At 37.4% G+C, this 20,719-nt stretch overlaps 1 protein-coding gene, 1 long non-coding RNA gene and 1 pseudogene across 13 annotated transcripts in view; 2 read left to right on the top strand and 1 right to left on the bottom strand.

The window, feature by feature from the left end:
* The first annotated feature begins 712 nt into the window (after positions 1 to 712).
* ANKRD30B (ankyrin repeat domain 30B) overlaps positions 713 to 20,719 on the top strand; it is a 192,964-nt gene continuing 172,957 nt past the window's right edge. For all 11 annotated transcript variants that reach the window (XR_007066151.1, XR_007066152.1, XR_935057.3 and 8 more), the window contains exons 1-7: positions 713 to 1,181; positions 5,107 to 5,221; positions 5,380 to 5,553; positions 7,440 to 7,546; positions 10,356 to 10,493; positions 13,095 to 13,159; positions 16,227 to 16,631. Coding sequence is in view for 6 of the 11 variants with exons in the window: in NM_001367607.2 (NP_001354536.1) it covers positions 961 to 1,181; positions 5,107 to 5,221; positions 5,380 to 5,553; positions 7,440 to 7,546; positions 10,356 to 10,493; positions 13,095 to 13,159; positions 16,227 to 16,631 (1,225 nt within the window). In the remaining 5 variants the exon portion in view is untranslated. The remainder of the gene's footprint in view (positions 1,182 to 5,106; positions 5,222 to 5,379; positions 5,554 to 7,439; positions 7,547 to 10,355; positions 10,494 to 13,094; positions 13,160 to 16,226; positions 16,632 to 20,719) is intronic.
* Positions 11,470 to 20,151, bottom strand: LOC105372008 (uncharacterized). Of its 2 annotated transcripts, none has more exons than XR_935181.3 (3): positions 20,037 to 20,151; positions 14,974 to 15,073; positions 11,470 to 11,545 (listed from the first exon to the last, which is right to left on the bottom strand). It is a non-coding gene; the product is annotated as an uncharacterized LOC105372008 (long non-coding RNA). The 2 variants fall into 2 exon arrangements; XR_935179.3 differs by lacking the exon at positions 11,470 to 11,545 and adding an exon at positions 14,318 to 14,507.
* On the top strand, positions 11,729 to 11,835 carry RNU6-1210P (RNA, U6 small nuclear 1210, pseudogene; annotated as a pseudogene).

Genomic DNA, 20,719 nt, shown 5'->3' on the forward strand with positions numbered 1-20,719 from the left:
CCTGGCACGGTGGTTCATGCCTGTAGTGGCAGCAGCGGTGGCAACCCCAGAACCTGTCCGTGCCACCAGCAGCGGGGAACCCCAGGGTCGGACGCCGCCACTGCGCCTAAATCAGGCGGTGGGACCTCAGCTGTGTGAGGGCGGGAACCTGCCGCAAAGCCTCATCCTGGCAACTATACATGGCCCAGAGGTCGCGAGCCTGCGCTGCCAGCGCGGGCCAAGGAAGAGCAGAGCCCAGGGTGGAAGGGCGGTGCACTCGGCGACCCTCAGCGGTCTGGGCCCAGCCCTGCAGCCTCCACCGTGGACTCAGGTGCAGCTCCCACCTGAACATGGCACGCGGCAGCGGGGGCTCCAACCCGGACCCTGTCCGTGCCAGCAGCAGGGCGGATACTTGGGCCAGAAGCTTCCAGGGCGCCTAAGTGAGGGGGTCGGTCCCCAGCTGCAGGAGGGCGGGAATCGACGCTCAGCGCGGCCCTGGAGGCTGCACGGTGCCCAGTACCAGGGTCCAGCTCCTGGATCGCGGGTCGAGGAGGGGCCAGGGGCGGCTATGTCAAGCAGGCCGTGTTGCAGGGAGCCCCACACGTTCCGCTCCAGGGAGGCCCGCCAGCCCGGCAGCGCCTCAGCGGCCGGTGCCACCTGCACGCGGTGCCCGGTGGAGCGCGGCCAGGGCGCGTGTCTCCTCAGCCTGCTGAGCTGCGCGTGAGCTGCTGCTGTAACGCTCTAACGTTAGAGCAGCTAACGGCTCTGCTCAGAATTTCTCCCGACAGAGGCCGGAGTGTTCAAGAGCTTGGCGATACAGAAATTTCTGCTGGTGTTGGGGCGGGTGCGGGAACTGAAGACGGGCGAGTGCGAGCCGGGGGCGGGTGCTGGGGAAGGGTAAGCGGGAAGCGAGGGCGAGGGGTAGGGGCTGGGGAAGGGCGAGCGGGAGGCGCGGGCTCTCTCTAGCAGGGGGCTGCAGCCATGAAGAGGCTCTTAGCTGCCGCTGGCAAGGGCGTGCGGGGCCCGGAGCCCCCGAACCCCTTCAGCGAACGGGTCTACACTGAGAAGGACTACGGGACCATCTACTTCGGGGATCTAGGGAAGATCCATACAGCTGCCTCCCGGGGCCAAGTCCAGAAGCTGGAGAAGATGACAGTAGGGAAGAAGCCCGTCAACCTGAACAAAAGAGATATGAAGAAGAGGTACCAGGCCCTGCCTGAGCCGGGGCTGCAGGAGGAGGAGGCGGCTGTGGGAGGATCGCCCCTTCAGAGTGGTGGCTGGGGGTCCTGGGGACGAGGGGAGCAGGTGGAGGAGTGGCGGGCGATGGGGCGGCCGTCCTGGGCCCCGAGGTCTTGGCCTTCTTCCCGGTCAGGCCCCCCAGGCCTGGGATGGGGGCGCCCTGCAGGGCAGAGGGCACAGGCCACCTTAAAATCAACCCCAAGCTTTAGCTGCTTTCTCCTTCACTCCCACTTCCCCTCACAAAGCACTCTGTAGAAAATTTTAAAGTGATTAAACTCACAAAATTAAGTACATACAGGGTTTTACTTTTAATGTACAGGTTTTAAAAGATAATGTTAGATACACTATGAAATGGTGCATAATGAACTAATTCCCATAATATATGACCTTCTTGGCTAAAAATTCTTTGGATAAAGTCCAATGTCCATTTTGATATCAATGAATGTCTATGTAAATATGTTCTTTGCTGAGGGACCTTAGAAGGAAACTTCGAGGTGGGAAGATAGTTTATGTTCTTGAATTTAAGAAGACTCATTTTTCTCAAGATGCGACTTACCAGTTTTACATAAACCAAATAAAGCTATTAACGTTTTAACATTTTTTAAATTACACAGGCTTTTACTGTTGTGATGACATTTTAAATATTTTGTAATGGAGTAGAAAAGTCTTGCCCTTCTAGATATCAAAATGCGCTATTAATTTGCACAAAATGGGCCAGGAGCGGTGGCTCACGCCTGTAATCCCAGCACTTTGGGCGGCCGAGGCGGGTGGATCATCTGAGGTCAGGAGTTCAAGACCAGCCTGGCCAATATGGTGAAACACCGTCTCTACAAAAATACAAAAATTAGCTGGGCCTGATGTCGGGTGCCTGTAATCCCAGCTACTTGGGAGGCTGAGGCGGGAGAATTGCTTCAACCTGGTAGGTGGAGGTTGCAGTGAGCCGAGATCCCACCATTGCAATCCAGCCTAGGTGACAGAGTGAGACTCTGTCTCAAAAAAAAAAAAAAAAAAAAAAAAAAAAAAAATCACAGATTGTTTGCTAACAGCTGAAAAGACAGGTAAATGAATACAACAGAATAGAAAATCCAGAAACACCCAAACATATGTAAGAATTTAGAACTTGATAATGATCACAAGGATCATTATCCTTGTGGAAAAGAATTAGTTTCATAATTCTTTTAGGAATATGAATTATTAGGAAAAGAATTAGTTTCATAAGTGAAATGCCTGCTTTTTGGAGAAAACTAGATTTTTATGGCACAAAATAAGTTCCTGATGGAATATAGATTAAAAATTTTTAATATACAAAAAGATAAAAATACCAGAAAAAACATAAATGCCTATTTACACAGATACATTTTTATGTTGACAAAACCTTTCTAAGAAGCTCAGAAGCAAGCATTCTGAAGAGTAATTTAGTAAAACAAAAATTAAATCACCCTGCATATGAGAAAAAATAAAAGGCAGCATACTTGTAAAATATTTACTACTCATGTATGTGTGTGTGTGTATACATATTAGAATTAAAAATCTTCCTTTTATAGAGAATTCACTCAAATCAACAGAAAACCCTCTAATTTAAAATTGGGCAATTTAAGTTAGAGATCTAAATTGCAGATCTAAAAAAGTACTTGGCCTCTAATTTAAAACTGGGCAAAGTCCTTTTTTAAGATCTGCAAGTAACCTATGCACACAGGAAACAATATTAGTGTTCCTGGTTAGAGAAGGCATTTAAGTTAAAAGAGGAATCAAATACTGTTTTCTATCCACAAAGTTTGTGAGGATAAAAAGCAGTGATATTTATAGTACTCCTTAAAGTGTAAGTTGCAGATGAGTTTTCAAATAAACAATTTGATGGTAAGTACCATATTTAAAAAATTGTATATGCCCATTAGTGATCCATTCTATTATACTAAAATATTTTTAGAAAATAATGCAACATACACACAATTTCTTTTCTGAGCACTGCTTAAAATATCAATGTATTAAAAAGAATCCATTTAATGGCTTTTATAAATACATTTCAGTGAGTTTACAGCATGGGATAATATGTGACCACTCAAGGTAGAAACATATACGGAAGTATGTTGACATTTGAAAATGTATTTTGGTGTACCAAGTGAGGGTAAAATTCAGTTTGATTATACATACAGACTATGGTCTTGTGTTATCTGAAATTATGTCCAAAATTTGATAACATTTGCTATTTGAGGATACTTGTTTTAATATAAAATGTTTTTCCTTTTTTTATCTTTGATTTCTGCATTGAGCATGTACGATGCTATTAGTAAAAGTTTATTATTAATGAAATAATTTTTGGGAGGAGCAGCAATATGTATTTTGCACAGATGAAAATAATTTCTCACTTTCTATATTTTATTTTTTTGTGCATTTGTATATTCTGTGAACTTTTAGCATCTTCAGAAGAGAATATTTTTATCTCTGCTTATTGATTTACATATACATTTTATTAAACACATTTTTATTATATATAGGCTTATTACATATATGTCAATAACTATAGATTAATCATTTTAGTGTAGTTTTATTATTAGAAAAATAAAATGACAAATATAAGTGTTTTATTTATAGCAGTTTTTTAAGATACTGTACTTCCCAACTGTATTTATCCATTCTTTTAATCCATTTATCACATGTAAGCTGGATGCCTATTATGTAGAAGATACATTCTATTAACTCTCAAGACCTTTTCATCCTTAAAAATTTCATGTTTACCTGCTCAGCCTGAGCAAAGTGAGAGATTTAAAATTGGAGTATTAGGACTGAATCTCAATTAAGCTTTTCCTCTCATGTTTCAAACAAAAACACTTCTGAAGTGAGAAACGAGTAAAAGATAACTACCAACCAGGTTTTGGAAATTTATAACAGCTCTAAATAGTAATATTAATCATCAAAAATACCTAATTTACATGCATTCTATAAATCTAAATATGAATTTCCATACATTCTGTAAATCTAAATAGGGAATAAAATGAGCCATACCTATTTATTTGAAACCAAAGTTTTCTTTGGCTTGAAGTTTTTAAAATCTTGAGGAAGTAGTTTGTTTTAACAATTTGTTGTTTTTATTTCAACTCTCCTATTGTGTAGTCCTCTAAAAAGCTAAAATTTCTTTCAGTGTTAATCCTGTGACTAGGACTGCCATCGTCCTGTTGTATATACCGTATTCCACTTCTTGGAAGACACTGTGAATTGTGTGATGCCTCTTTATTTTATGCACCAATTAAAGATTGTTTAAATTTCTGCCAAATATAGTTGTAATAAATAATGAATTATAAATGGCATTTCAATGTCAGAGATGTTAAAATATGAGCAATTGAGCATCTTAGAATCATTAAAATACTGTGTTATCTCTAACCTTTAAAACACACCACGAAGTAGGCATAATTGCACCATTTTACTTAAAATGTTTTCTTTATTAAGTAGTAGTAATAATTATAATATCTAACAATTACTTAGCTGTTACATGTACTAGGAACTCTCCAAAATACTTTGCATAGATTCTCAATGAGGCATCACAGTGATGTCCTGTGAGATAACGGCTGTATTCATCTCCATTTTATTGATGAGAAAAGCGAGGTGCAGAAAGTTTAAGTGACAGCTAGAAAGTGAAAGACCTTAAAGTAATATTCAAGCTCAAGTTGAACTGAATCCAAAGGCCAAGCTCTTTGTATTCAAACAGGCCACTCTTTCATTAATGCGGTGAGTAATAAGAGAACGAATGTTGTACTTTCTTCAGGAGAATATTAAATATTTGTTTTGAAGGTAGAGAAAGAGCATGGTATTTAATGTTTACAATTACCTAAATCGTTGTATGTTTTGAGACAGTGGGCTATACTTTGCCTAAAAGTCCTCTCACTCTCGTAGGACTGCTCTACACTGGGCCTGTGTCAATGGCCATGCAGAAGTAGTAACATTTCTGGTAGACAGAAAGTGCCAGCTTAATGTCCTTGATGGCGAAGGGAGGACACCTCTGATGAAGGTAAATAGTAGCCAGTTTTTTCAGCGGGAGATGGATTTGGTTTAAATACATAGAATAAAAATGAATTTAGTTGAAATACAACTAGTTTGTGAAACCTGTGGAATACTTATTTTGATTTCCTATAATTTATAATGTACTTCTTGCTTTAATACTGACAGGCTCTACAATGCGAGAGGGAGGCTTGTGCAAATATTCTCATAGATGCTGGTGCTGATCTAAATTATGTAGATGTGTATGGCAACACGGCTCTCCATTATGCCGTTTATAGTGAGAATTTGTTAATGGTGGCAACACTGCTGTCCTATGGTGCAGTCATCGAGGTGCAAAACAAGGTAGACATTAACCAATGTTATTTTCAAAATATTTGAAATCCATTTGTTTTAATGTTAACATATGTAAGGCTTTTATATTTGGAAACACAAACATTCCTTGAGTGAAAATAATTTGAAAGAACTTAATTATCTAAGATTTAACCTTAAATATTAATTTTTTAAAAGAACTATTAGAGAGTATGGCTTTTCTGTGCATTTATGATAAATATTTGAATTTGTTAAAGGTAAAACTTTTTCAAATATTCTTTCCTACCCAAGGTTTTTTTTTCTTTCCAATTAGTGTAAAACTACAGGAAAGCAAAATTTGCCTGTGTAAATTGAGTCAACATGTAAAATTTAGGATACGTGCAGAAATCTGGATTTCCTCTTAAAGGATTGCATCTGGTGTCTCTTGAGCACATATGACTGTTTGGTATGCTAAGAGAACGTTCTAGCTTTACACAAAGCATGTTTCCAGTTTGCCACTGTGCCCACCTAGTTACATCACTTACTGAACTTACCTCTTTTGCCTCTGTAAATATTTCAGTTATCAATTCCTCTCTCATAGTATATTTTGGTAAAGGTTTCAAGGTATTCAAGACAGTTGATAGCTGTTTATAATATATAGTTTATATTTTACATTAATTCATTAATACTGGGGTTGACTTCTAGAATTTCGAAGACTTTTTAAACAATGATTTTTCTGTATATAAACCATAAATAATAATCTTTTATTAGAATGCCTTTAAGCCTTTTTAGATTAATTTTGGTTGTATTTGAATAGGTTATGCATATTGCAGAAAATATTATATCCTTCTTCTTAGAATTGTCCCTTAAAATTCAAGTGATTTAGGGGCTTCTGTTATGCTAATCCACATAGATGAGTTAGAACTTTCATTAGTAAGCCATTTTATTCATATTTTTGATATTTTTCCAAAAATTAAGTAGCAATTACAATAGCAACCAGAATAAAAATGGATTATTGCATTTAAAGAAGTAGATATGCATTAGGATCCTAGGATTATCATTATAATTGAGAATAAACTTTTATACTGAATTTCTAATAGCCGAGAAAAAATTCTATTGTCTTGTAATAGGAGAAACCTCATGGACCATTTAATAATAAGCAGTCAAAGTTCATTTGAAGCCAATCTCTTTTGATTTAGAGCCACTTCCTTAGTGACCCATTTAGAGCAGGAGTGCCTGACATTGGCATCTGGGATCTTGGGATTATTGATAGAATAGAATCAAGAGAGTTTGTATCACCTACAGGAAACCTCCATTTTTCTTGGGAAGCTTTCAAAACTGTATGCCTGAAATTCTAATTTGTCAAATGTTAATCTCTGCCACAAAAATATATTGTCAAGTAAGTATTAGGCAAAGTTCAAGTCATTTATTGAATAATGGACATTTAGTTCACAGTTTTATAATATTTCTTGAACATAGATAATGGTGGAATCTGTTGGGGTACAGTGCTTCTGGTAAGGTAATTATTCTTTGGAATATAGTTTAAGAAACACTGCTCTAGAGGTAATATTATAGATTACTCATTTAGTCAAAAACAAAGTATTTACTACTATGTCTTAGGGTTTAAGGATATAGAGATAAAAGATACAGCCCTTGCCCTCATGAAGCTCTTGGTTTAGATGGGAAACCATAAAATCATTACAATATAATGATTTTTGGAGATAACCAGAATTAATGTGGTGATGCAGAGGCTGAATATTTACAAGGGAAGGTGCAGTGCATGGGAAAGCACAGAAAAAGGAGAAAGAAGGGACTGCTATTGATTTACTTATTTACTTTCTACTTTATGTGTTTAAGTTAATAGGATATAATATAAGGTATTCAGTTCAGCTGAGAAATATGTAATTTCATGAATTATATATTGTTCTGCTATTTTACAGGCTAGCCTCACACCCCTTTTACTGGCCATACAGAAAAGAAGCAAGCAAACTGTGGAATTTTTACTAACAAAAAATGCAAATGCAAACGCATTTAATGAGTCTAAATGGTATGGTAGTTCTTTTTTTTTACTAAAAAACACTTGACTAGTGTTCTAGAGTAATAATGCTCAAGTCAGAAATATTAAATTAACAACATTTAGTTAAAATTATTAGATTATAGTGAAACATATCAACACAAATTATCAGAAGAAAAGCAATTATTTGGACTGGTCAACATAAAAAACAGTGTATAGTAGGACTTATCTTCTCTTATTATATTGACTGATTCTTATTTGTAATCTGATGATTTTGGTTGCATTATTTTCTATTAGCTAAAGTGGTTCTGCATCAGTTTTAAGAAGTATGAACTTTTTTAGTTTGCTTTATAATTCAATATTGAATTATTAACAGTTTTATAGTATTTTTCTAACTTCTCTTTTTTATACACTTTTTTAATTTCTTTTTTTATTATTATTATACTTTTAAGTTTTAGGGTACATGTGCACATTGTGCAGGTTTGTTACATATGTATACGTGTGCCATGTTGGTGGGCTGCACCCATTAACTCGTCATTTAGCATTAGGTATATCTCCTAATGCTATCCCTCCCCCTTCCTTCCCCTCACCCCTCAACAGTCCCTGGTGTGTGATGTTCCCCTTCCTGTGTCCATGTGTTCTCACTGTTCACTTCCCACCTATGAGTGAGAACATGTGGTGTTTGGTTTTTTGTCCTTGCGATAGTTTGCTGAGAATGATAGTTTCCAGCTTCATCCATGTTCCTACAAAGGACATGAACTCATCATTTTTTATGGCTGCATAGTATTCCATGGTGTATATGTGCCACATTTTCTTAATCCAGTCTATCATTGTTGGACATTTGGGTTGGTTCCAAGTCTTTGCTATTGTGAATAGTGCCACAATAAACATACGTGTGCATGTGTCTTTATAGCAGCATGATTTAGAGTCCTTTGGGTATATACCCAGTAATGGGATGGCTGGGTCAAATGGTATTTCTAGTTCTAGATCCCTGAGGAATCGCCACACCGACTTCCACAATGGTTGAACTAGTTTACATTCCCACCAACAGTGTAAAAGTGTTCCTATTTCTCCACATCCTCTCCAGCACCTGTTGTTTCCTGACTTTTTAATGATCGCCATTCTAACTAGTGTGAGATGGTATCTCATTGTGGTTTTGATTTGCATTTCTCTGATGGCCAGTGATGGTGAGCATTTTTTCATGTGTCTTTTGGCTGCATAAATGTCTTCTTTTGAGAAGTGTCTGTTCATACCCTTTGCCCACTTTTTGATGGGGTTGTTTGTTTTTTTCTTGTAAATTTGTTTGAGTTCATTGTAGATTCTGGATATTAGCCCTTTGTTAGATGAGTAGGTTGCAAAAATTTTCTCCCATTCTGTAGGTTGCCTGTTCACTCTGATGGTAGTTTCTTTTGCTGTGCAGAAGCTCTTTAGTTTAATTAGATCCCATTTGTCAATTTTGGCTTTTGTTGCCATTGCTTTTGGTGTTTTAGATGTGAAGTCCTTGCCCATGCCTATGTCCTGAATGGTATTGCCTAGGTTTTCTTCTAGAGTTTTTATGGTTTTAGGTCTAACATGTAAGTCTTTAATCCATCCTGAATTAATTTTTACACCTTATACACTTTTTAAAAAATGCAATATTTGCTGGGCATGGTAGTTGTTGCCTGTTATCCCAGCAGTTTGGGAGGCCAAGGTGGTTGGATCACTTGAGGCCAGGAGTTTGAGACCAGCCTAGCCAATATGGTAAAACCGCATCTCTACTAAAAATACAAAAATTACTGCCATGGTGGCGCATGCCTGTAGTCCCAGCTACTCAGGGGACTGAGGCACGAGAATCGCTTGAACCCAGAAGGCAGAGGTTGCAGTGAGCTGAGATCATGCTACCACACTCCAGCCTGGGTAATAGAGCGAGATTCTGTCTCAAAGGAAAAAAAAAGCAATATTAAATAGAAACAGGAGTTTAAAACCATTTTGTCTTTAGGACGACTATTTGCTTTAATAAAGTTGTTTTCTTTGAAGCATATTAATTTTAGGTTATCCCTATGTGACTGACTATTAATTGCTATCACCAGATACTGTGAATTTATTATTTTTTTCATTTTTTTCATAGTGTATTTTTATTTTTAATTTGTATGGGTAGAGGGAAGAAAGACATCTTTAATTTGATTAATATTTTAGTTAATTAAGATAAGCCATAGGTGAATGATAAAGAGAAAAGAGATAGGCTTTTGATTCACACAAGACTGAGTTTAATTTCTAGCTTCCTCACTTGATAGGTGTGACCTTGCAAACATTACATAATACCGAGTATGACTTTCTATGTGAAAAGGAGAATAATGATATGTGCTTTAAGGATGATTGTGTTGAAGTAACATTATAAATATCAACAGCATTTAATTCAGTGTCTCATACATTCTTATCAACATCATTAACTAAACTTACTATGACTACTACTAATATCATTATTCCTAATATTGTTTTAAGCCTTCAGATTGCTCTCTCTTGTCTGACTTCTAGCTGATTTTTAAGTATAAAATATTATATCAGACTAAGCAAGAAATAGATAATTCTTCCCTTAAATCTTTGCCTCTTTTAGGTTAGTGAACAAATCATAATTCCTTGCCCCTCAAGGGACTTTATGTTAGCCAATTCTAGTATGCCACACCCCAGTGGGACATGAGTCTTTTTGCCCCTTCCTTTTAGATTTGGTGGTGATTTGCAAGGATAAACACTTGAGCACTCAAGATACTTATGTTTGTTAGTACATGTAAATGGTTAATTCTACACTGATAGGCACATATTAAATTGATTCTGCTCATAATAAGTTATCTCTTTGTTATTTTAGCACAGCCCTCATGCTTGCCATATGTGAAGGCTCATCAGAGATAGTCGGCATGCTTCTTCAGCAAAATGTTGACGTCTTTGCTGAAGACATACATGGAATAACTGCAGAACGTTATGCTGCTGCTTGTGGAGTTAATTAGTAAGTGTTTACATTTAAAGGCTAGGTGAAATTTTATTGTTTGTTTCAGGGAGTTTTTGAAAGACAGTGACTTAGTTCACTTCATCAGCCAGAAACTAGGCAAAAAGCCAGACTAGTTAGAAGGAGTACTGGGTCCAGGATTCTTTATTTTAGGACTTTCAACAGCTTTATCCCTAGGGATCCTAATGTTGACTGCTTGATTTGAAGTATAACCCCTAGGCTCGGGATAAACACAGTGTCACAATTTTGATTTTTCTAATTAGTTATTTGGGTCTGGAAATGTCCACTTCGGCAGAAAACCTGATAATGTCCCCTGGGGGCTGTCTTCCATACCTTAATACTTGAATTTTTAAAAGGAATCTAAGGGGTTCCTTAAGTCCAAGGAAGACATTCATTTTGCATAAGTCAGAAGGATTTGGGGGGACACGGCCATTCTCTTCTTTTTGTTGTTTCCATTGATTCTGTTGCTGCGCCGTTGCCATTGAAACTGCCCCTGCAGTCTGGTAATGATTGACCTTTGTGACCAGGATGCCCTTACTAACACAGATCCCTCAGTTTTCATGGTGATCCATATATAGACTTCAAAGTCATTACAGTTTTTTAAAGTTCACATACATATTCTCAGCCATTGTTTCCAAAGTACCAGCACCCTGCTCTGGCAGCTAGGACTTTTATCTTTTGCCACACACATAGTGAGCAAATTGACCATTCTCCTCCCACTCAAAACCTGATGTGAAACCCACATCTTAGCCCGGACTTGGCCTAGACCTTCATGATAAGTTATCATTTGAGTGACTTTTTCTATTTTCTCTAGCAAATATTAGTTGTGAAAGTTTAAGACTGTACGACAGGTTGAAATACTGTTACAGGAAGAAATTAGAGATCCATTTTTATTTTGTTACCAGATCTATATTCCTGGCACTTTATATCCCGTGTAGCACCATTTTATAGGTAGTGGAAGGTCTCATCTTATTCTGTAAAATCCCATGTCATCTTTCCAAAGTTGTAGTGGGTTCCAACTTGTGGTTGTTCCCTCAAGTGATTCCCTTTTCCTGAAAGTAAAAATCTTCCATGTTACTTGCATCTTTACCTCGAGTTTTTAAAATCTTTTCAAATTCTGCATTACCATGAAGGCATTCAATAGACTTCACTCTATCTCAAGTAAGTTGCTTAGATTTAACAGAGCTAAGCCTCATCCATCACTGATCAGTCTTCACATATAAAAGTAGGGATTTGTGCTGGTGTCAGGGGTACATATACTAAAATTGAAACAATGTCAAGAAGGTTAGCAAGGTCCCTGCACAAGGATGACACACAAATCTGTGAAGTGTTGCATATTTCTTGCAGTCCCCAAAAGGACATTTGACTAACTAGCTCCAAGGAAATGGTGTGAGTCAAAGCAAAATGGGTGACTCCCAGGATTGCACTTGTGATTTTCATACAAAAAATATTTATGTAAGGTGATCTATGAAATGAGATGTGGTAACACATAGGATCTTGTGTGCAATATGTTGTTAGTAGGCCTCTCAGAAATGAGAAAATACCAACTTGCATCTTGTTTGTGGAACTTACAAAAAATAAAGGTAGGGTTTTGTGTTCCACAGCAGCTGGAAATGAACATCGTGACTTAAGCATCATTCTAACAAAGATTTGTTGATTCAGGTTTAAGGAGGTAGATAAACAGTAGTAGTAGTCCAAGCCAGGTGCTGAGATCTGTTAGTTTTCTGCCCTTGGTGTGATTGATGAGGTCGGTAATAGAGGATAATCAGGTTATCCAATGTAATGAATTAATATATTTACAAATAAATTTCATTACAAATTATAAAATAGCTTAGATGCCTTGAATTACAAGCCACAAAGAATAGAGCATCTAATAACCAAAAGTAGGAATTAATAACAGAAAACTGCAACATTTCAACATTACAACCTATGAAGAAACACTTTTTTTAAAAAAATTAAATTTATTTTTTGTAGAGACAGGGTCTCCCTGTGTTGCCCAAGCTGGTCTTGAACTTCTGGGCTCAAGCAATCCCCCTGTCTCAGCATCCTAAAGTGCTTGCATCACAGGCATGAGCCATTGCACCAGGCCAACACATTGGGTTTTATTGGGAATTTTAAAATAGTTTCAGCAATAAGATTCAAGAATAAATTATTTCATTGCTTCACTATTTCTTTGAGCATTTTAAAAATGTTATCTTGTTAAATCTTTGTAATAACCTAGTGAAATAAGTCTCTAAAATCCTCATTTTTAGAAGACATTGAGCCTAAGAGAAGCAACTTGTTCAAGAAAAAATACCTGTTGGTAACTGCGCTAGGACTTTTTCTGAGTTAGGGACATTTTCCATTAAGCCAAGCTAACTCTAGTTAATTTACTGAGTTATACTGCCCTCAATTCATGAGTATTTCATCTTACTTTATTTATTATTTAATTAGAAGCTTAATAAGTTCATAGAGCTTACAAACTTAAAGTCTGTGAAATAAGTAACATTCTGATGTTAGCTCTGATATTGTCTGAAATACTCTAAGAACTTAATAAATTTGGTAAATGTTTTTTATATCTTGTTAAAATAGTAATTTTATTTATTACATTTTTATACATAGCATTCATCAACAACTTTTGGAACATATACGAAAATTACCTAAAAATCCTCAAAATACCAATCCAGGTAAGACTTCGGATAGCAAACTACTCTTGATGGTGCTACCATAAGATTAGGGAAGTGCTGATCACAAAAAAGCAATTCAAAAAGCAATGTGCAAATAGCATGTGTTTACATATATACATATATGTGGGTGTGTGTGTGTATATATATGTATACATAGCTTTGATTTATTTTTTAAATTTATTATTCAGAATTAGTTAAGAATTTAGGTGTAGGTAGTTTATAATCTCAAAAAATATTATCTGAAAAAATATTTAATTATGGTCCCTAAAATCCTATATAATATTTTGTGTATATAGGTAACACAATTTTTAAGTTTGTATATTGTTTGATTCCTCAATTGTCATAACAACTTAGACTTGTTATACAATGTATAATCCTTGGTGTGATTGATGAGCTCAGTAACAGGGGATGATCAGGTCATCCACTTTAATGAATTAATATATTTATAAATAAATGTTATTACAAATGATAATTAGTTTACATGCCCTGAATTACAAGCCACAAAGAATTGAACATCTAATAATGGAGAGTAGGAATTAATAACAGAAAACTGTAACATTTGAATATTATAACCTGCGGGGGTCTATCCTGCAGATCCCGGCTGCATGACGGATGAGACACATACCCAGACACCCATATTCAGTGAAAGAGCAGCAAGGGTTCCGAGCCCATTACAGACACCAAGGAAGGTGCTGTAAGGAGTCAGCAGCCACAACCCTGGCAAGCTGGCCCTGTGGGCATTTATTAGCAAAGTTTTAATGACAAAGGCTTTGAGTCAACATACCTGTGGGTAATTAATCTGGTCACCCCACCCCAGGAGAGCCATCCTGCCCATGGGTGATCAAAGGGGAGTCTTAAGACTGCATGAGTAAACAAGCTATTTAGATAAACTACTCTACTTTCCTTTGTACCCACTTTAGGCTATTTACTCAAGGTAAGGATTAGACTGCTTTCAGCCATAACCCTATCTTGAGACTTTTACAAAACCTTCTGGCCTTCCAAGGAGATTTGTGTCTATGTCCTATAATGTCATCTTAAAATGTTTCCCACAAGCCTGATGAACTCACACAATAAGCTATGAAGAAACATGGTTTTATTTATTTATTTATTTATTGTAGAGACAGGGTCTTCTTATGTTGCCCAGGCTGGTATTGAACTTCTGGGCTTTATTTAATTTTTACAATAAATGGTTTGCATTTAGTAAATGAGAGTTAATTACAGTTGAATCTTGAGCAATATGAGAGTTAGGGTGCTGATCCCCCATGCAGCTGAAAATCTGCTTCATATGAAAATCTGTTTCTTTTGACTCCTCCAAAACTTTGCTAATATTCCACTGTTGACCTGGAGCCTTATTGAAAGCATAAACAGTCAATTAAACACATAGTTTCTATTTTATATGTACTATATACGGTATTCTTACAATAAAGTGAGCTGGAGGAAAGAAACTGTTATAAGGAGGAAAAAATATATTCACTATTTATTAAGTGGAAGTCAATTATTATACATAAAGGTCTTCATTCTTACTGCCTTCATGTTGAGTAGTCTGATAAGGAGAAGGCAGAGGAGAGATTTGTCTTGCCATCTTGCAGTGGGAAAGGAAAAGAAAAATCTATTAGTGGGCTCCTAGAGTGAAAACCCTTATTCAAGGATCAACTGTGTGACAAAGTGACTTGTGTCACTAAAAAAGTAACTATCTTTAGAATTTGGAATTTAATAATACTTTTCTGGCACCATAAACAAATGTCAGCAAGAATTACAAAACTTAGCCAGGGTGCATCAGTACCAATAGGAGATTATCTTTCAAAGATACCTACTGAGTGCAGAAGTCAGAAAAGCAATTCTTTGTTGAGAAGCGCAGGTTATGTTACGTAGTCTTGTACCAACAAGGTCTCACTATTATCAACTTCATTCCGTCTAAGTTGAAACCAAATAAGATATATTTACTTCATTAGAGCAAGGTATGTTGTTCTATCTACTGGATAATTAGTGTGTTAATAGTAATTTTGTTACAGCAAGATACTCTAATAGCCAAAATATTATCATTATAAATATTCAAATAGCTTAACTCTAAACACAAAAAATTATAAAAAAATTACAAAAACTTTTCACAATAATGAAAATGCTACTGTGATACCTAAATGTGACACAATGCATTGTACAATATGAACTGTATGAGCACATCTTTATTATATATTTATCAAAGGACCTCTATAAGTTAGGTTTGGCAAGTTGCAGGAGACAAAGATGGAATACACATAGTTTGGGTCTTTAAGGTGCTCATAATACAGAAGAGCTGTGCCTATTGAATTTCTGCATTTTTCCAACAGAATTTCCTTAAAAATGTTTTTTATTCATTTATCTGCTTGTCCACTTAACAAATAACTGTCAGGTATCTTTAAGGTACTAAGTATCTTCCTTGTTATTATCATTGTCATTTTTTATTTGCTTCTTTATTAAGATACTAAGCATTTTTCTTATTATTATTATCTTTTTTATTATTTATTACTTTATTTAGTGTTTACTCTGTGCCAGAACCCCTTTTGGAGCTTATAATTATTACTTACTATGTCATGCCATTACCATATTCAGCATGTGTCAGAAATTTTATATCCAAGGTGAAGAATTAAAGCTTTAAAATGTTTGGTAGTGTCCAGGCACAGTGGTTCACTCCTATAATCCTAGCACTTTGGGAGGCCAAGGCAGATGAATTGCTTGAGCTCAGGAATTTGAGACTAGCCTGACTAACATGGTGAAACTCGTCTCTACTAAATACAAAAAATTAGCCAGGTGATGTGGCCTGTGCCTGTAATCCCAGCTACTTGGGAGACTGAGGTAGGAGAGTCGCTTGAGGTAGGAGAATCGCTTGAATTGCATTGAGCTGAGATCATGCCACTGCACTCTAGCCTGGGTAACAGAGCAAGACTCCATCAAAAAAAAGAGAAGAGAGAAAAGAAAAGTTTGGTAATATTTAAGGAAAGCATACAGAATAAGTAGAAGTTTGCCAGGTGAAGTCAGGAGGATGATATTTAAGCAGAAAGAAAATTTAACCAGATTGTGTGTTTGGCAGAAGGAACATCTACAGGAACACCTGATGAGGCTGCACCCTTGGCGGAAAGAACACCTGACACGGCTGAAAGCTTGCTGGAAAAAACACCTGACGAGGCTGCACGCTTGGTGGAGGGAACGTCTGCCAAAATTCAATGTCTGGGGAAAGCAACATCTGGAAAGTTTGAACAGTCAACAGAAGAAACACCTAGGAAAATTTTGAGGCCTACAAAAGAAACATCTGAGAAATTTTCATGGCCAGCAAAAGAAAGATCTAGGAAGATCACATGGGAGGAAAAAGAAACATCTGTAAAGACTGAATGCGTGGCAGGAGTAACACCTAATAAAACTGAAGTTTTGGAAAAAGGAACATCTAATATGATTGCATGTCCTACAAAAGAAACATCTACAAAAGCAAGTACAAATGGTAAGATGCTTGAGTGAACTTTGCAGGGTTTATTGGCACTTTGGGTTCCCTAGTGAAAAAAGTGTGATATGGGAGTTGTTGGGAATGTCTTGAATATCTAAATAAGGCAAGCTTAGGCAACACTTTTTAATAGTGTAGAAATAAATAGATCTTATTCTGTAGGCCCTGGAAAAATTCTCACAATACTTCTGGTTGTAAATACTAGATGAACTAACTAACAGTGGCTAAAATCATAGGAACCAAAGTTGTTTTGGTAGTACAGGGATATCATAGGATCCCTTTTGTATTTTTTATTTTATTTTATTTATTTAGTTTTTGAGATGGAGTCTCGCACTGTTGCCTGGGCTGGAGTGCAATGGCGCGAGCGATCTCGGCTCACTGCAACCTGCGTCTCCTGGGTTCATGCAATTCTCCTGCCTCAGCCTCCCAAGTAGCTGGGATTACAGGCACCCACCACCACACCTGGCTGATTTTTTGTATTTTTAGTAGAGACAGGGTTCCACTATATTGGCCAAACTCCAACTCCTGACCTCGTGATAGCCCCGCCTTGGCCTCCAAAAGTGCTGGGAATTCAGGTGTGAGCTACTGCGCCCAGTCAGGATCCCACTTTTGGTTGGCTAATTAGCAACAGCTCCAATCATCATGCTCTCTCAAGACAATATTTAAAGGCTGGAAGGGCTGCTTTGTTCACATTTTTCTTTTAAATAGAGAGAAAACTTGGAAGCTTGCAATAATCTTCCTGTAACATTTTGTTGGCTGGATTATACCACATGCTCATTTCTAAGCCAGTCACTAGGAAAGCAAATGTAATTACTGTGATTAGCTTAGAAGAATGATTTCTATTTTTGAGATGGAATGGGGGTAATGGAATAATGAATATCTAAATAAACTTGTGTTTCTGCAGCAAAAAAAGAATAAATAATGACTAGGCATAGGAAGCCAGTAATGTTTTCTGCAGGGATTCATTGGAAAGGTTTGAGCAGGGGAGTCACAAGATTGGATCTGAGCATCAGGGCATTCTGGTCGTGGTATAAGGCAGAGATTGGCAAACTTTTCCTGTAAAGTGCCAGATAGGAAATATGTTAGACCGCTGGGTGTGGTGGCTCACGCCTATAATCCCAGCAGTTTGGGAGGCTGAGGCATGTGGATCGTGAGGTTAGGAGTTCGTTCGAGAACAGCTTGGCCAATATGGTGAAGCCCCATCTCTACTAAAAATATGCAAAATAGCCAGGCTTGGTGGCACGTGCCTGTAATCCCAGCTACTTGGGAGGCTGAGGGAGGAGAATTGCTTGAACCCAGGAGGCGGAGGCTACAGTGAGCTGAGATCGCACCATTGCACTCCAGCCTGGGTGACAGAGCAACACTCCATCTGAAAAAAAAAAAAGAAAAAGAAAAAGAAAAAGAAATATGTTAGGCCATGTGTCTCTATAACAGCTATTGAACTCTGCATTGTAGAGTGAAAGCAGCCATAGATAATGTGTGAGCAAATAGGCATGATTGCACTCCAAGAAAACTATGTATAAAAAACCATTTGGTAAGCTGAATTTGGCCTGTGATACACAGTTTGCTGGCCCTTCACATAGAAGATAGATGGAGGGTAATTACATAAAAAGATTTAAAGACAAAGTAAGCTTTTGTAGTAGTTCATGCTATAGTCTTTTTTTTTGTCACCAATCTGTGGCCTAGTATCAGTCTATTATGAAAATTTGACCCTTCCAGGGTAAAAGGAATCAAGTTCAGAAGCTCAATTTACAGATTTAAACCTGTATGTCTTTCTTTGCCATTATTTTATTTTGATTTGTTTTACTGAATTTTTTTTAACTTAAAAAATAACGATAGTAATTGGTAGGGTTTCTTTTTCACTGTGAAAGCCATCAGTTAAGGGGCCATGTCTAAGTAGGAAATATAAATATAAAATAATAAGTTTGTATTCCCAGTGTCACTGGAAAGATAAAGCAAGGGCAGAAAAGAGGTACAGTTAATATGGTTTAGTTATTATTGAGTTTAAAAAGCTAGGGGACAGAGAAAATCTCAGGTCTTAAGTTTACAGACTGTGCATGAGCATTTACAATGCTCATGGGGAAGGAGTAGAAAATTGTCAGGTCAGGGCTGGGCATGGTGCCTGTAATCCTAGCACTTTGGGAGGCCAAGGTGGGCAGATCATGAGGTCAGGAGATGGAGACCATCCTGGCTAACACGGGTGAAACCCCGTCTCTACTAAAAATACAAAAAATTAGCTGGGCGTGGTGGTAGGTGCCTGTAGTTCCAGCTACTCAGGAGGCTGAGGCAGGAGAATGGCATGAACCCAGGAGGTGGAGGTTGCAGTGAGCCGAGATCTCACCACTGCACTCCAGCCTGGGTGACAGAGCGAGACTCCATCTCAAAAAAAAAAAAAAAAAAAAAAAAAGAAAAGAAAAGAAAAGAAAAGAAAATTGTCAGGTCAGCAGAGAAGTGCAAATAGTCATGGGACAGACCAACCATTTTCTTTACATATTGAGTTCAATGAAACATTCATGTGGGATATTTTCTGTAGGTAATTGGTTTATACGTATTTCTAGCTGGAGATAGAACTCTGGTTGGAGATGTAGGCTTAGAATAATTTTATTATAATTATTAGGCAAAGCCATAGATCTCAATGAGCTTATCCATGATGCAGAAGATGTAGAATAAGAAGAAAGCCATTGACAAAACCCTGGGAGTATCAACATTTCACAGAGTCAGAAGACTTGGTAAAGGAGATTGAGCAGTGGCTAATGAAAAGTAGGAGAGGAGTTACTTTTAAATGTGAGAATTTCAAGCAGTAAGATTACTGAAAAGCCAATTAGATTTAACTTACAAGTTCTTCAGTGGTAATCTGTTCAAAAGAATTATTTTAGGGTTGTTAAGTATACTGTTGATATGGTTGATATTTCTGGTGTCGAAGAAAAAATCTCCCAAGATCCTACCTAACTTTTTGTAACTGAAGCAGCCAACATACCCAGGGTCTGGAAAATTGTCTAGACTGGTAAGTACACATGCCAATATTTTTCCAGAATTGTCAAAACCTAAGAGTAAAGTGTGAGGAAAAGTGTTGTCTTTTTTATCTGCTTCTTGTGGAGAGTGGAGATCTGTGTTGTGTCTCTCTCTCACACAAACATAAACAAACACACACAAATAAGTACAGTAATTCACCCTTATCCATGGGGGGTATTTTCTAAGACACCCGGTGAATGTCTGAAACTGTGAATAGTATGAAACCCTATATATACATGTTTTTTCTATATATGCATATTTATGATAGTTTAATTTATAAATTTGGCACAGTAAGAAATTAAGAATAACTCATGATAAAATAAAACAATAATAATACATTGTAATCAAAGTTAGGTGAATACGGTCTCTCAAAGTGTCTTGTATTGTACTCACCCTTCTTTTTCTTGTGATGACTGTGAGATGATATAATGCCTATGTGATGAGATGAAGTCAGGTGAATGAGGTAGGAGTTGTCATGTGGTGTTAGGCTACTAATTATTTCTGGCTATCTGACTACATATCAGAAGGTGGATCATCTGCTTCATGTGATGGTGGATCATTGAGCCATGATAATGTTGATGGTTGGGACTCAGAAACAGACCATTTTGATGGGCAGATAGCATATGCAAAGGAATGATTCATGACCTGGGTGAGATGGAAAATGATGTCTTTATATTTCATCATACTCCTTAGAATGACACATTATTTAGAACTTATGACTTGCATATTTCTAGAATTCCCCATTTAATATTTTTGGACTATGGTTGACCATGAATAACTGAAATCACAGAAATCAAAACCATGGATATTATATTGTGAAATCTATATTTGGTCTTCAACACTGTTTTCTGGCGTACAACTCATAGAATGTTTAGAATCTCCAAAGTGATGTCTTTGTATGCTAATAATTGAGTGATGGCTGGCAGTCCCTAGGTAGCTTCAGGATAGGAGCTGGTCACAAGAAAGAAGAAGACATGATGTGTTGGGACTTTCAGCCCCACCCCTCAACCTCCTAGGAGGTGAAGATTAGGTCAATTACCAGGAGCCACAGATTTTTTTTATTCATGCCTATGTAA

Source organism: Homo sapiens, chromosome 18, assembly GCF_000001405.40.
Source record: "Homo sapiens chromosome 18, GRCh38.p14 Primary Assembly".
Taxonomy (NCBI): Eukaryota; Metazoa; Chordata; class Mammalia; order Primates; family Hominidae; genus Homo; species Homo sapiens.